The 16,730-nt window shown below is 40.7% G+C and overlaps 1 protein-coding gene across 5 annotated transcripts in view, besides 5 other annotated features; it reads right to left on the minus strand.

Moving 5' to 3' along the window:
* The window catches only part of ZNF573 (zinc finger protein 573), a 41,285-nt gene extending 32,451 nt beyond the window's left edge, over positions 1-8,834 (minus strand). For 2 of the 5 annotated variants that reach the window (NM_001172690.2, NM_001172689.2), the window contains exons 1-3: positions 8,792-8,834; positions 2,909-2,999; positions 812-944 (exon numbers count right to left, since the gene is read on the minus strand). In NM_001172690.2, coding sequence (NP_001166161.1) covers positions 812-944; positions 2,909-2,977 — 202 coding nt within the window. In that variant the 5' untranslated portion in view covers positions 2,978-2,999; positions 8,792-8,834. Of the gene's footprint in view, positions 1-811; positions 945-2,185; positions 2,231-2,908; positions 3,000-8,791 lie in introns of all 5 variants that reach the window. The other 3 variants (NM_152360.4, NM_001172691.2, NM_001172692.2) reach the window with 3 other exon arrangements.
* Positions 8,322-8,985: an enhancer, noted in NCBI's record as "H3K27ac hESC enhancer chr19:38269714-38270377 (GRCh37/hg19 assembly coordinates)". NCBI's record gives its function as "activates a minimal SCP1, AML or CMV promoter by ChIP-STARR-seq in naive H9 embryonic stem cells {active_cell/tissue: H9 hESC(naive)}" and the evidence as "EXISTENCE:reporter gene assay evidence [ECO:0000049][PMID:30033119]".
* Positions 8,322-9,648: a biological region, named in NCBI's record as "H3K27ac hESC enhancers GRCh37_chr19:38269714-38270377 and GRCh37_chr19:38270378-38271040".
* Positions 8,777-9,071: an enhancer, noted in NCBI's record as "tiled region #9873; HepG2 Activating DNase matched - State 1:Tss, and K562 Activating DNase unmatched - State 1:Tss". NCBI's record gives its function as "activates a minimal TATA promoter and a strong SV40 promoter by Sharpr-MPRA in HepG2 and K562 cells {active_cell/tissue: HepG2 | K562}" and the evidence as "EXISTENCE:reporter gene assay evidence [ECO:0000049][PMID:27701403]".
* Positions 8,778-9,127: an enhancer, noted in NCBI's record as "active region_14556". NCBI's record gives its function as "activates an Ori minimal core promoter by ATAC-STARR-seq in GM12878 lymphoblastoid cells {active_cell/tissue: GM12878}" and the evidence as "EXISTENCE:reporter gene assay evidence [ECO:0000049][PMID:35858748]".
* Positions 8,986-9,648: an enhancer, noted in NCBI's record as "H3K27ac hESC enhancer chr19:38270378-38271040 (GRCh37/hg19 assembly coordinates)". NCBI's record gives its function as "activates a minimal SCP1, AML or CMV promoter by ChIP-STARR-seq in naive H9 embryonic stem cells {active_cell/tissue: H9 hESC(naive)}" and the evidence as "EXISTENCE:reporter gene assay evidence [ECO:0000049][PMID:30033119]".

Genomic DNA, 16,730 nt, shown 5'->3' on the forward strand with positions numbered 1-16,730 from the left:
CCAGTCTCGAAAAAAATAAATAAATAAATAAGATAATAACAATAACACTATCACACAGTTCTTTCAGGATTAAGTTATTTTATATATATATATATATATATATATATATATATATATATATTCCCCCTCCCTTCCAAAGAGTGGCTGGGGACATAATGAGCACAACTGTACCAATTATAATTATTTTATTATTTCTGTATGAGAGAAAAAAAGCATCCCGACTGATATATAAAATCTTCATTCAAACTCAATGCAAAGCTCATGAATTATAACTTTCAACAATAAATCATACAAATTGGCTACAGGAAATGAAATGTGGACTCTTCAGTTTCCAATAAATATTGTTCATCTAATCCAGCACTATATGTCACAGGGGTTCTTCTTATACTCAGAGTAAATCATGAATCTGCGTCTTTTGTCCCTGCAGGTGGATCAGATGATGACACAGCATATCTATAGGAATTCTGGAAATATGCACAATGGGAAACCAGGATTCCTGGGCAATGGTTATTCATGGACTAATAATATATAATTTAATAATAATAATATATAATTTTAACCCAGCCCCTTGGATATTAAGGAAAGGAGGCAATCATAAGGGGCAGGAGAATATGTGACTATCTCTAAAGGATGAAGAAAATGATGGTGCTTAGTGGCACAGCCATTGTCAAACAGGCAGAGCTGAAATATTCCTCTAAGAACAGGAAGGAGAAATTCAACTATGTCTTGAAATATGGCCTTGAAATTCATTGTGTTGAAAGGTAACATATCACAGATCACATTTTAAATTACTTGAGGCAAATAAACTTACCCAGTGATACCAGGTTTCTATAGTTCTCCAACATCACATCCCTGTATAAGTCCCTCTGATTAGGGTCCAGGTATTCCCACTCCTGCCGAGAGAAGTCTATGGCCACATCCCTGAATGTCACTAATTCCTGAAACTGCAAACCCATGCATTACAAAATTTTAAAAACATTTTAAAGAAGGAAAGATAGGAGATTACAAGAGCACATTAGAGAAAAGGAGTGATATAGTATATGTGGCTAATGACTGGTAGCAGACTAAAGCAACGTGTCTACATATTCCTAAAGGATCCTATTGCCACAGGATCCTATTCCTAAAGGATCCTATTCCTAAAGGATCCTATTGCCACAGACAAATGTTTCTGCATGTTGAAGGTTACCACAATAATTCAGACCTGCTGAGGAATGGATAAAATAAAATTCAATAAAGTATTAAAGACACAACTACATAGTCTGCTAGTCATGTGATGCATAAATTCCCAATAAACATGAGTTTCTAAACTATTTTTCCTGTAAGTTAGAAAAATGAGATGTCCTTGCCAAATTTAATAATCTCCAATATTTAATTGTTTTGTGCTATTTATTTATTTTTTTGGGGACGGGGTCTCACTCCTGCCCAGGCTGGAGTGCAGTGACTCAAACATGGCTCATTGTATCCTTGACCTCCCAGGCCCAGGTGATTTTCCCATCTCAGCCTTTCAAGTAGTTGGTACTACAGGTGTGCAGGACCTGCCCAGCTAATTTTTGTATTTTTTGTAGAGACAGGGTTTCACCATGTTGCCCAGGCTGGTTTCAAACTCCTGGGCTCAAGCAATCCGCCTGCCTCAGCCTCCCAAAGTGCTGGGATTACAGGCGTGAGCCACTGCACCTGGCCAATCTCCATATTTAAAAAAAAAAGCTTTTGCAGAACATTTAGACATTTCCACAAGTCTCAAGTTACATCATTATGTCAGAGCACATAAGCATTTTTCTTAATTTTGACAAATATATTTTTTATTGACTGTGCAACAATTTTATAATGAATATTTCAGACTTACTCCGTCGTTAATCCATCTTTTACCTCGTGTACATTTTTTAAATCTTTTTTTTTTTTTTGAGACAGGCTCACTCTGTTGCCCAGGCTGGAGTGCAGTGACACAATCACTGCTCACTGCAGCCTTGACCTCCCACGCTCAAGCAATCCTCCTGCCATAGCCTCCCGAGTAACTGGGACTACAGGGGCAAGTCACCATGCCCAGATGATTTTTGTACTTTTTTTGTAGAGATGGGTGTCTCACTTTTTTTGCAAGGGGTCTCAAACTCCTGGCCTCAAGTGATCCTCCCGCCTTGGCCTCCCACAGTGCTGGGATTACAGGTATGAGCCACCGTAGCTAGCCTACCTTCATATACTTTGTTGGACAGAACTTCAAAGGTCTTCCCCAGTTCTGGAAATCAACATATTTACTCCTTAGGATAATATTCTCATTCATCGCCATTTTCCATCACTTAATACTTTTCTTGTTCCAGAATGGATACTGATATAGGATGACTCATAATAAAAAAATGTCACCCAAGTTCAGCAGAACACATTCAACCACAAAATAAAAACTTGTCTCTCAGTAATTCTTTGACAAGATCCATGGTATATCTCCAACAATTCTAAAATTCTCAAAGAATATGAGATCTCATCACATACTAAGACAGACCAATTGATAACCAAATCCCATCTTATTTGCCTAGAAAACTCAGGTCTGCGGAGAATGTCAGAGCCTACCTATGGTATCCAAATAGGACCAACATCTCTAATTCACCAAACTAAGGACCTATAAAGGAAGCTCAAATAGTTCCCTGTTGAGACTTCACTCCTTTACTGCTCTATCATAGACTTTGGTTGAACAATAAGCACATGAGTACTAAATACATTTGACAATAAATATAAAAGTGGACAGAAAATACTCATAGGGAGAAAACTGAGTTATTTGCTATCACTATTCACAATATTAGAAGAAAGTGGGGACAGATAACTGAAGGAGGCCTTCTTAAATAGGAAGCCTTAGGTTAATGAAAACATCCACATAACCTATGATCATGATATTGCAAGGAAACAGAATTAATCAACTTACACAGGTCATGGTTTTAGAATTGTAAGACCTGATCAGTCCTACTTGGTGGGGTTCCAATACTGGAAACATTCAAACTCCAGAGAATCCAGAGCTGAGAGAAGAAAAGAGATGTTAGTGTTCCCAATATGACTTAATTTAATAAAATCTTTCTGCTCCTCTATTTCTCCTTCCAAATTAATCCCTCACAACTGAACATATAACTTAGGGAAAAACAGACAATGAATCTAAGCACTCCCTCACACCCCAGGAAACCCAGCTATACAAAGGTAGTTTTAGAGTAAGTCAATGGCTCACTAAAGCCAGATCCAGACAAGATAGCAAGAGGTTTTCTGGACAAGGCTCCAATTTGGGAAGGCTGATCTAGACTTGAGATTAGGCTGCTCAGTTTCTCCATGAGAAGATTCACTTGCCTTCATTCCCACCTTCCAAGGCTGAGAGAGGACTTATCGTTCAAACTAGAAGCTTCTTTTTTTTTTTTTTTTTTTTTTTTTTTCTGAGATGGAGACTCGCTCTGTTGCCCAGGCTGGAGTGCAGTGGTGAGATCTTGGCTCGCTGCAACCTCTGCCACCCAGGTTCAAGCGATTCTCCTGTCTCAGCCACCCAAGTAGCTGGGACTACAGGTGCGTACCACCACACCTAGCTAATTTTTTTTGTATTTTTAGTAGAGACGGGGTTTCACTATGTTGGCGGGGCTGGTCTTGAACTCCTGGCCTCAGGTGATTCACCCGCCTTGGCCTCCCAAACTAGTCAGATTACAGGCATGTGCTACCGCGCCTGGCCTCAAACTAGAACCTCTTCTATGGCATCAGAATCAGTTGAAATTGGTCAAAACATGAGAGAGAACACATCACAGGAGGAAATGTTTAGGCCTGGTTCTGTGTTGAGCACAAACTGCCTTGCTAAATACAAAATATACATGTAATAGAATACCAAGAAGCTATCAGATGCTAAGTAGGGAAACGTATTTAATAAAATTTAAAAATTTCAGATATACTGTCAACGGAAAATTAAGATGAGAAAACAGAATGTACAATATCATTGGATCGTTAAAAAGACAGACAAGCATTGAGGCACAGGCTATAGGACATCAATACATTGAGAAAGTCTGGTAGTTTATTTATTCTGTTACATTACAACATGATCATATGTTACCATTACTTTTCTTTTAGTTGCTATCTTGATTTTCTTTTTTGAATATATTTCATAATCATTTTAACACTGTTCATACATTAACTTAAAAAATACATGTGTACACACACACATACACTCACACACAAATTTGTATATTAAAAGGTGGGTTTATTTTGCCACTTAGCCACAGTGTCATCCAGTCTACTGCTAAACTCTCTCTCTTTTTTTTTTTTTTTTTTAAGGGGCAGGGGGTCTTGCTCTGTCACCCAGGCTGGAGTACAGTGGTGTGATCATAGCTCACTGCAAACTCAGGCTTCTGGGTTCAAGTAATCCTACTGCCTCAGCCTCCTGAGTGGCTGGGACTAAAGGTGTGCACCACCATGCCTGGCTAATTTAAAAAAATTTTTTTAGAGACAGGGTCTTACTATGTTACCTAGGCTGGTCTCAAACTCCTGGGCTCAAGAGATCCTCCCTCCTAGGCCTCCCAAAGTGTTGGGATTACAGGCATGAGCTACCACGCCTGGCCTAGTTTCACTTTTTATCTAACATCACTTGAAGAAAAAATTAGACAGTAAAAGCTTACAGAATATATTCACTAACTTCCATATAGATTCCATGAGCTTAGTTACAATGATGACCAGAATCTAATCAATGCCACGTCCACATGAATTCCCAAGGCACATCACCTGAATCTCTCTAGTGGTCTTCACTATACACTGACTTACCCGTTCCTATTTACAACTTATGGCCCTTGCTGAATTATTGGCATTTTAAAGTAGTGACTAGTCCTAGCCACAGCAACCAGACAAGAGAAAGAAAAAAAGGCATCCAAATTGATTAAGAGGAAGTCAAACTTGCTGTTCGCCGATGATATAATCATATACCTAGAAAACCCTAAAGACTTACCCAAAAAGCCCCTAGATCTGACAAATAAATTCAGTAAAGTTTCAAGATACAAAATTAATGTACACAAATCAGTAGCATTGCTATATACCAACATCGGCTAAGCTGAGAATCAAATCAAGAACTCAACCTCTTTTACAACAGCTGCAAAAAAAAAAAAAAAACCACAAAAGAAAACAAAAACAAAACAAAACAAAACAAAAACAAACAAACTTAGGAATATACCTAATCAAGGAGGTGAAAGATCTCTACAAGGAAAACTACAAAACACTGCTGAAGGAAATCATAGATGACACAAACAGATGGAAGCACATCCCCCGCTCATGGATAGGTAGAATCAGTATGGCGAAAATGACCATACTGCCAAAAGCGATCTATAAATTCAATGCAATTTCCATCAAAATACCATCACCATTCTTCACAGAATTAGAAAAAACAATCCTAAAATGCATATGGAACAAAAAAAGAGCCCGCATGGTCAAAGCAAGACTAAGCAAAAAGAACAAATCTGGAGACATAACATTCCCTGACTTCAAACTATACTACAAGACAATCGTTACCAAAACAGCATGGGACTGGTATAAAAACAGGCATGTAGACCAATGGAAGAGAATAGAGAACCCAGAATAAAGCCAAATACTTACAGCCAACTGATCTTCGACAAAGTAAACAAAAACATAAAGTGGGGAAAAGACACACTATTCAAAAAATGGTACTGGGATAATTGGCAAGCCACGTGTAGAAGAATGAAACTGGAGCTTCATCTCTCACCTTAGAGAAAAATCAACTCAAGATGGATCAAAGACTTAAATCTAAGACCTGAAACCATAAAAATTCTAGAAGATAACATTGGAAAAACTCTTCTACACATTGGCTTAGGCAAAGAGTTCATGACCAAGAACCCAAAAGCAAATGCAACACAAGTAAAGATAAATAGATGGGACTTAATTAAACTAAAAAGCTTCTGCACAGCAAAAGAAATAATCAGCAGAGTAAACAGACAACCCACAGGATAGGAAAAAGTATTCACAAACTGTACATCCAACAGAGGACTGACATCCAGAATCTACAAGGAACTCAAACAAATCAGCAAGAAAAAAACAAATAATCCCATCAAAAAGTAGGCTAAGGATATGAATAGACAATTCTCAAAAGAAGATATACAAATGGTCAACAAACATATGAAAAAATGCTCAACATCACTAATGATCAGGAAAATGCCAATAAAAATCACAATGTGATACCAATTTGCTCCCTAAGAATGACCATAATTTTAAAAAATCAAAAGATAATAGATGTTGCCATGGTTGTGGTGAAGAGAGAACACTTCTACACTACTGGTGGGAACAAAAACTAGTACAACCACTATGACAAACAGTATGAAGATTCCTTAAAAAACTAAAAGTAGAACTACCATTTGATCCAGCAATCCCACTAATGGGTATCTACCCAGAGGAAAAGAAGTCATTATATAAAATTATTTTATTTTTTTTTCAGTGATAGAGACAGGAGTCTCACCATGTTGGCCAGGCTGGTCTCGAACTCCTGGCCTTAAGTGATCTGCTGGCCTCAGCCTCCCAAAATGCTGGGATTACAGGTGTGAGCCACTGCACCCAGACAGAAGTAATTATATGAAAAAGACACTTGCACACACGTTTATAGCAGCACAATTGCAAAAATATGGCAACAGCCTAAATGCCCATCAACAAGTGGATAAAGAAAATTTGGTGTACGTACACATATATATACACTATGGAATACTACTCAGCCATAAAAAGGAATGAAATAACAGCATTGGATGCAACCTGAATGGAGTTGGAGACCATTATTCTAAGTGAAGTAACTCAGGAATGGAAAACCAAACATTACATGTTCTCATTTATGAGTGGAAGCTAAGCTATGAGGATGCAAAGACATAATAATGATATAATGGATCTCAGGAGGCTGAGGCAGGGGAATTGCTTGAACTCAGGAGGCAGAGGTTGCAGTGAACCGAGACTGCGCCACTGCACTCCAGCCTGGCCATAGAGCAAGCCTTTGTCATAAAAAAAAAAAAAAAAGCCGGTCGTGGTGGCTCATGCTTGTAATCCCAGCACTTTGGGAGGCCGAGGCGGGCAGATCACGAGGTCAGGAGACTGAGACCACGGTGAAACCCAGTCTCTAATAAAAATACAAAAAATTAGCCGGGCGTGGTGGCGGGCGCCTGTAGTCCCAGCTACTCGGAGAGGCTGAGGCAGGAGAATGGCCTGAACCCGGGAGGCAGAGCTTGCAAGTGAGCCGAGATCGCACCACTGCACTCCAGCCTGGGCGACAGAGCGAGACTCTGTCTCAAAAAAAAAAAAAAAAAAAAAGTAATATTTAAGAGGTGGTCTCTTGAAGTAACTAATACAAATTCTGTTGTTAGTCTTTTAGGATATGACTTTCAGATTTAAGCTCTGATACTTAATAAAATGTGTCTTAAAGTCTCATTGGTAAATTGGGAGAAAATGTCATTTAGCATATAAAATAGTCTGAAGATGAAGTAAAATAATCCACATAAGGCTGGGTGCGGTGGCTCACGCCTGTAATCCCAGCACTTTGGGAGGCCGAGGCGGGTGGATCATGAGGTCAGGAGTTCGAGACCAGCCTGGCCAAGATGGTGGGATTACAAGCATGCACCATCACGCCAGACTAATTTTTGTATTTTTAGTAGTGATGGGGTTTCGTCATGTTGGCCAGGCTGGTCTCGAACTCCTGACCTCAAGTGATCCGTCCGCCTTGGCCTCCTAAAATGGTGCGATTACAGGCGTGAGCCACCACACCCGGCCAAATATGAGAACGTTAATGAGATTCAGCTCAATGGCTCCCAACATCTACTGGAAAGAAAGCAGATTGGTATTAGGACATTCAGACACATTTCAGATGAAGTAAAACATACTCTAAAACCAGTAACCTTAGGAAAGAAAAAAGCCAACTAGCCTAAACATTGAGTTTTAGATGTGAAAGAATTTTTTTCCTCCTCATTAGAGTCCTTTTGAGGAATAGCAGGACCAGGGAGGGAGAAAAAAATCATGAGTTATCAGGCCTTTCCTTGAAGCACGGAATGCCTCCTTACACAATACCCTCCACGCCTTCCCTGTTCACACACTTTAACACATGGAGGTAGGAGAGAGGCTGGAATCTGGGTATGAGTTCACAGCAGGTTCCTGGGGTCAGAGCTCTGGGAAAGACGAGGTTCTGAGACAGGTAGCTCGCTCTCAGAGCTCACAAAGAAATAACCTCCCAGGCGTTTCCAATCTCACAGCAAGTCAATGCCTTCTTGCTGGAAAACTTGATGTAGAGTTCAGTATCCAACTTCCCTCTTGCAGACATTTTTTGTGTGTGTCAGCCGCAAGCAGCTGTGAGGAGGGAGGAGAGAAGCAGCAGCCGGGAACCTACAGCCAAGACTCAAAGTGACACCGCAGTGCCACCGCAATCAACGTACATGAAAAGGACAAGCACCTCATATCCCCGTCACGCAAGCACAGCCACTCACTCACCTGTCACAGCCTCACAACCGCACCCACCGTCAAGGAGGCACATCCCAGCCTCTCACACGCAGTTTCTCTGTCACACACTCTCAAACATTCCCCATCTGACATATACAACATTCTCTCACGTGCGCACTCAAATACCCTCCTCTGCTGTTCATGCACCCACGGGCCTGAGATTCCGATAACAACTGGCCGTCCACACTAGAGGCTTCCACGGTTAAAGGGCTTCCTCCACCACCCCGGCTGGTTTAGGTTGGGCTCCAACGTAACTTGATTGCCCAGAGCCCTCCCTGCGAGTACTCTGTGCCTGTTATATACTGAAATGAGTTCAACCCACCTTGCAAAAGAACCACGCGAAAACGGAAGGGAAGCCATAGATTGGGTGTTCCCGTTGCCCTCTGGGAAATGTAGTTTAAGCCTAAAGCTCCATGACCGCGGTGGCTTGTGGGAAAAGTGGCTCGGAACCCCAAATCCCGGTTAGATTGCAGGCACCGCCGGACGCTGGCTCCCGGAGGTTTTAGTTTTCCCTCTACCAGGAGTGTGAAGACACAGAGACTTATTGCGCTGGCGAAGATGGCTGAGGCGAAGGCGTGTCCGACTTGTCCTCGGAGTTCTGAGGGTTTCAGTGACCCCAGAAGGCTGAGAAGTGGAATCCGAACTCGAGGCTGCCCGAAGCCTCGGGCTGTTTGAGTGTAGAGCCGGTAGGGGAGGGCTTTCAAAGTGTGGCCGCGAGGGCGAGCGTGGGGGATCGGTTATGAGCTCCCGAGGGCGGGGACTCTGCTCTGTGTCCCCTGAGGAAGTCCAGTCTTGTTATAAGGTATGAGAAAAGTAACTTTTTAAAAATGGACAAATAATAATTGTATGTTTTATATACTGATAGGGTACAATATGCTGTTTTGATCTATGTTTACAATGCGAAATGATTAAATCAAGCTAATTAAATCCATCACCTCACTTTTTTGTGGTGAAAACATTTAAAATCTACTTTTAGCAATTTTGAAACATGCAACACATTATTTATGTAGTTGCTATTCTATGCAATCGATTAACAAAGTTTATTTCTCCTGACTAACTGAAATTTTGTACTGTTTTAATTAACATCTCCCTTTTCCCCATTTTTCAGTCTCTGGTAAACACCATTCTTTGCCTCTTAAGAGTTAGACTTTTTTAGATTCCACAAATACCACTTATGTGGTATTTGGTATTTATCTTTCTGTTACTGGCTTCTCTCACTTAGCATAATGTCCTCCTGGTTTATCCATGTTGTCACAGATGACAGAATTTTCCTTGTTTTATTTTTATTTTTTATTTATTTTTTAAAAATCTATTTACTTATTATTATTTTTTGAAACGGAGTTTCGCTCTTGTCACCCAGGCTGGAGTGCAGTGGCACAGTCTCAGCTCACTGCAACCTCTGCCTCCCCTGTTCAAGCGATTCTTGTGTCTCAGCCTCCCAAGTAGCTGGGATTATAGGCATGCGCCACCACGTCGGCTAATTTTTGTATTTTTAGCAGTGACAGGGTTTCACCATGTTGATCTGGCTGGTCTCGAACTCCTGACCTCAGGTGATCCACCCACCTTGGCCTCACAAAATGCTGCATTTACAGGCGCGAGCCACTGTGCCCGGCCGATTTTCCTCTTCTTAAAAAGTGAATAGTATTCCTTTATATATACATATATATATGTGTATAAGGTTATATACATAATATATATAATATGTAACATTTTCTTTATCCACTTATAACATGCTGGACACCTAGGTTGCTTCCGTATCCAATGCAGAATAATGCTGCAGTGAATGGTAGTGCAGTTATCTCTTCAGCATGCTGATTTCAATTCCTTTAGCTATACACCCACCGGTGGGGTTGCTGGAACATATAGTAATTCTATTTTTAGTTTCTGATGAATCTCCATATTATTTTCCATCATGGCTGTATTAATTTACATTGGGAAATGTACGTACTTTTGATGTTGTTGTGAATGGACTGGTTTATTCAATAAATTGTGTTAGGTACATTGACTAATAGTGTGTAGAAGTAAAGTTATATTTACTTAATTCTTAAAGGTATAGTCAAAACAGACTGAATAATTAAATGTAAAAATGATCTGGAGAAAACCTTTTTTTTTTTTTTTGAGATGGAGTCTCGCTCTGTTGCCCAGGCTGGAGTGCAGTGGCGCGATCTCGGCTCACTGCAATCTCTGTCTCCCGGGTTCAAGTGCTTCTCCTGCCTCCCGGGTTCAAGTGCTTCTCCTGCCTCAGCCTCCCAAGTAGCTGGGATTACAGGCATGTGCCACCACACCTGGCTAATTGTATATGTTTTAAAAAATTAACTTAGGAATAGATTTTCTAAGCTAAATTGAAGGGAAATGCTAAGGAAATAGTGAGATTTTACTTGATAATTATGTGTCTGAATGAATCAGCCAATTAATAAAATTAAAACAGACCTCGGGCCATGGTGCATGCCTGTCATCCCAGTACTTTGTGAGGCCAAGACAGAGATCGCTTGAGTCCAGGAGTTTGAGCCCAGCCTGAGCAACACATCAAAACGCTGTCTCTACAAAAAAATACAAAAATTAGCCAGGCGGGGTGGCTCATGCCTGTAGTCCCCACTACTTGGGAGGCTGAGGCAGGAGGATCACCTGAGCCTGGAGAAGTCGAGGCTGCAGTGAGCTGTGATCGTGTCACTGCACTTCTAGCCTGGGCGACAGAGTGAGACCCTGTTCCAGAGAAACTAAAATAAAGTGAAATGAAAACAAATACAAGACAAAAATTGATCGACTTATTTTAACACATAGTATGATGAGAGACATAGATAACAGTACTAACCCGGTGTGTTTCTGTTGATCAAAGTCACGGTCACTAGTCTAAAGGAAATAGGAATAGTGACTATAAATTCACAACCATTTACAACATTAGAAATACTAATTATCTTCAGATATATCAGACTCACAATTACTTGCCCTTTTAAGAATTCATCCTGTTCTCCATAAGGAAGAAAGTATTGATAACTCTTTTTTTCCCTTAACTTAGCACTTTGTGCTTCTGAATCTCTGAATTTGTGTTCACATCTTAACACTTTTTTTTTTTTGCAATTATTTTCTGTAGCTTTTTGTCTTCAGTTGAGACATCTCCTATATTCTCTTTACACTTTTCCACAAATGACCCAATTTTTTTGTAAGCATCATTGATGAGTTCCATGTATGTGATGACGGTGTAATGATAAATTATCAATGTGGTTTCCCTCCAGTCTTGTTCATTATTCAAGTGACTCTCCTTGGCTGAGCAACAGGCCAGGAGGTATCTATGACATTTTGTTCAGGTTAAGCAGTAAGAATAAAACAAAATCGACATTATCTTTTTCATATTTTAAACACAAGCCAACAAATAATTTGGAAGGACCCATGATTAGACAATGAGGATTTTATGCTCCCTCAAGAGTAATTGAGATTGTTTAATTGTATGGAGGAATGAACATATCTTAAAGGGAAGCAAGAAGATATAATATTTAGATCACAGAATCATTAGGAAGCGGCTTTGCACCCTGGCTACACCACTGTACACAGGAAATATCAGGGCACCGTGGCGCACGCCTGTAATCCCAGCACTTTGGGAGGCTGAGGCAGGTGGATCACCTGAGGTCAGGAGTTTAAGACCAGCCTGACTAACATGGTGAAACCCCATCTCTACTAAATACAAAAAAATAGCCGGGTGTGTTGGCGCACGCCTGTAACTCCAGCTACTCGGGAGGCTGAGGCAGGAGAATCGCTTGAACCTGGGAGGCAGAGGTTGCAGTGAGCTGAGATGGCGCCATTGCACTCCAGCCTGGGCAACAAGAGCGAAACTCTGTCTCAAAAAAAAAAAAAAAATCACTGCCACAAACTTTTTCACATAGGACGATGAAGGATTCCAGAGCCCCTTCTACCTCTAGGGGCTCCTACCGCTGCCATCCTACCCCTGCCGTACCACACATATATCTTGACAGGGCCTGTTACAGAGAAGAAAAGGTCCAGTAAATTAATACTACAGTCATTGACACATAACCACCAAAAAACTCAAATTAAAATTTTGACAAAATTAAGTGTCAGCAAGAATGCAAAGATTTGGGAATTATCAGACATTGTAAGACTGTCAGTTGGTGTGTTAACATTGGGATGAAGCCAATAATACCTAGTAAAACTGAAGATATGTTTACCATGTAACCTATGGTTTTACCTCTTGCTTTATACTGTACATAAATACACACTAATGGTAACCAAATAGAAATACAAAAATGTTCACAACGGCATCATTTGTAACTGAAAAAATGAACACAACCCACATGTCCACCAACCATGAAGGGATACACACTGGTGTACTGTTTTTTGTTTGTTTGTTTGTTTTTTGAGACACAGTCTCACTCTGTTGCCCAGGCTGGAGTGCAGTGGCACGATCTGGGCTCACTGCAACCTCCACGTCCCAGGTTCAAGTGATTCTCCTGCCTCAGCCTGCCGAGTAGCTGGGATTACCGGTGTGCACCACTACTTTCGGCTAACTTTTGGTTTTTTGTTTCTTTGTTTGCTTTGAGACGGAGTCTCACTGTGTCGCCCAGGCTGGAGTGCAATGGTGTGATCTTGGCTCGCTGCAACCTCTGCCTCCCGGGTTCAAGCGATTCTCCTGCCTCAGCCTCCCGAGTACCTGGGACTATAGGTGCGTGCCACCACACCTGGCTAATTTTTTGTATTTTTAATAGAGACAGGGTTTCACTGTGTTAGCCAGGATGGTCTTGATCTCCTGACCTCATGATCCGCCTGCCTCAGCCTCCCAAAGTGCTGGGATTACAGGCATGAGCCACCACACCTAGCTGGTGTACTGTTTTAATGGAATGCAGAATCGATGCTAAATGTGAATATTAAATACTTAATATTGAGTAATAGAAGCCAGATGCAGCAGGATACAGACTATTACTCCAATTATGTAAGAGAGAAACCAGGCAAAATCAGACTATACTTTAGGCATATAAAAAATACATAATAAGGCTGGGATTCATGCTAAATGAGTAGATTTTAGCTTCCCTTGCCACACGCAAACAATGTGGGTATCTGTGAGATGATAGAGATGTTAATTTGCTTCACTATAGTAACCCCTTTATACTATGTATATGTATCCTATAACATCATGTTGTGTACCTTAAATATATAGAATAAAATACATTTAAAAAAAGAAAAAGTTTTGGCTGGGTGTGGTGGCCCATGCCTGTAATCCCAGCACTTTGGGAGGCTGAGGCATGAGGATTGCTTGAGCCCAGGAGTTCAGGAACAGCCTGGGCAACATAGTGAGACCCCATCGCTATCAAAAAAGAAAAAGAGGCCAGGCGTGATGGCTCATGCCTATAATCCCAGCACTTCAAGAGGCCGAGGCAGGCGGATCACGAGGTCAGGTGTTCGAGACCAGCCTGGCCAACATGGTGAAACCTCATCTTTACTGAAGATACAAAAAATTAGCCAGGGATGGTGGCGCACATCTGTAATACCAGCTATTTGGGAGGCTGAGGCAGGAGAACTGCTTGAACCCAGGAAGCAGTGGTTGCAGTGAGCCGAGATTGCGTCATTGCACCCCAGCCTGGGCAACAGGGCAAGACTCCGTCTCGAAAAAAGAAAAAAGAAAAAGAAAACAAAATTATGAAAAGATGCACAACAAAATTAAAATGTTGACTCTAAAGAGCTACTGAATGACGGGGGTGCATGAGAGAAAAGGTTACTTAACATTTTTATACCTATTGAATTGAATCCTATGTATGCATTATAAATTTAAATGTGCAATAATGCAGATAACTGAAATGTGGGTATGCTTTGATTAGGACTTTGCATTTCCCATTTGCTCAACTTCCTTATGATTCTAGATGCATATGAATAGAAATACAAAATTTAAGGAGCCACAGGACTCTTATAGCCCTTTCTTCTTTCCATATTTTGTGTCTCTGGCTGTAGTTTGCCATATGTGTCCCTATGGCTAATGAGCAAAATATTTTTCAGTTGGATACCTGTGACCAAGCATTGCAAGTTAAAGATATTTCTGAATCTTGGACCCTCTTAGTTACAGTAAAGCCCGGCCATGCATAATAAAGCAGAGAGGAATGTAAAAGGTTGCTGCATCGATAATCAATTTCTGGTGAGCAATAATTATAGGTAATGTAAAATGAGACAATTATTGCTTTTCATCATATCTTGAAAGAACTCCTACAGTCATTGATTTTGAACAAAACACCAAAGTTCACTCTCCTCTTTTCTATAATGAAAAGACATTATCCAGTAGAAGTTCAAGAGTAAAATCTGAAGGCAGCTTATCTGACCTGGCCACATGGCCTTGCCACTTATTCAACATAACTTTCTACACACTAACCTCTCCAGACCTCAGATCTTCAACTCTCTGAAATACAAACATAGTAGTATCTACCTCTAGAACTGCAGCTGAACTGAGCATTTTAGGGAAGGAACAAACACACATGATATAGATAGTCAGATTATGAACCCAGCGTAGCCCAGAATACAGAAATTTCTCAGTAATAGAGACCCTCAGGAGAAAAATCAGATGTAGCCTATCTCAGTGGTCTTTCATGTGGCAAATGAAAAGTGAAAGTCCATAATGAGAAAGACATGGGCAGCCAATGATACCATCGATTCAGTGTAGACTCTCAACATATCTGACAGTCATTGCCTGTTGTACCCCAACCCGTTTATATTTTGGGTTTATATCACCTTTCAGTTAAAACATACATAAACCTGAAGCCTCAGTCAGAAATATTTATGGATAACCAGGTATTATTCTGTGTTTCCAGTCAAAACTCAGGTAGACCACATTTTATGTGACAGGAGAAGGCACAGTTGATGCCCAATTAACCCTAAGATCATCTCTGCCTGCAGCTTCCTATCATCACAGCAAGCTCTTTTCCTGCAGTCCATCATCTGTGTCTGCCCTTTGCTATATAGGTAGCAAAAATAGGCATCTGAAAAGATGCTCAACACCATATGTCACTAGGGAATTCAAATTAAAACAACGATGAGATACCACTACACATGTATTAGACTGGCTCAAATCCAAACGCTAACACCACCAAATGCTGGTGAGGATATGGAGCAACAGGAACTCTCATTGATTGCTGCTGGGAATGCAAAATGGTACAGCCACTGTGGAAGGCAGTTTTGCAAATTCCTGCAAAACTAAACATATGCTTACCATATGATCTGGCAATTGCATTCTTTGGTATATGCCCAAATGACTTGAAAACATATCTACTCAAATCCTCCACATGAATGTTTACAGCAGCTTATACATAACCAACAAAGATTGGAAGTAACCAAGATATCCTACAATAGGGAAATGCATAAACTAACTCTGAAACAATCATACAATGGAATATTATTCAGGAATAAAAAAAAATGAACTACCAAGGCATGGAAAGACATGGAGGAATCTTAAACACGTATTTCTAAATGAAGCCAATGCAAAAGGGCCACATAGTGTAGAGTTCCAATTATATGGAATACTAGAAAAGGCAAAACTAGGCAGATGGTATAAAAAGTTCAGTGGTTGCCAGAGGCTTGAGCAGAGGGAAGGATGAATAGGTGGAGCACAGAAGATTTTTAGGGTTCTGAAACTTTTCTGTGTGACCCTATGATGGTGGACATATGTCCTTATGCATTTGTCAAAGCCCATAAATGGTACAACACAAAGAGTGAATCTTAATATAAGCCGTGAACTTAATAATATCCATATTGGCTCATCAAGGATAACAAATGTACCATACTAACAAGATGATAATAGAGGAAGTGTGTGTACTATGGTGTGAGGGGGATATTAGAGCTCAATATGCCCTCTGCTCTGTTTTCTGTACACCTACAACTGTTCTAAAAATTAAGTCAATTATTTATCTATCTTTTGCAGACAAGGTCTCGCTCTGTCACTCAGGCTGGAGTGCAGTGGTACAATCACGGCTCACTGCAGCCCCAACCTCCAGGGCTCAAGCAATCCTCCCCACCTCAGCCTCCTGAGTAGCTGGGACCACCAGCGTGTGCCACCATGCACGGCACATTTCGTAGGCATCTGAAAAGATGCTCAACACCATATGTCACTAGGGAATTCAAATTAAATTTATGATGAGATACCATTACACATCTATTAGACTGGCTTGAATCCAAACACCAACAACACCAAATGCTGGTGAACATACGGAGCGACAGGAATTCTCATCTATTGCTGCTGGGAATGCAAAATGGTACAGCCACTGTGGAAGGCAGTT

Source organism: Homo sapiens, chromosome 19 (assembly GCF_000001405.40).
Source record: "Homo sapiens chromosome 19, GRCh38.p14 Primary Assembly".
Taxonomy (NCBI): Eukaryota; Metazoa; Chordata; class Mammalia; order Primates; family Hominidae; genus Homo; species Homo sapiens.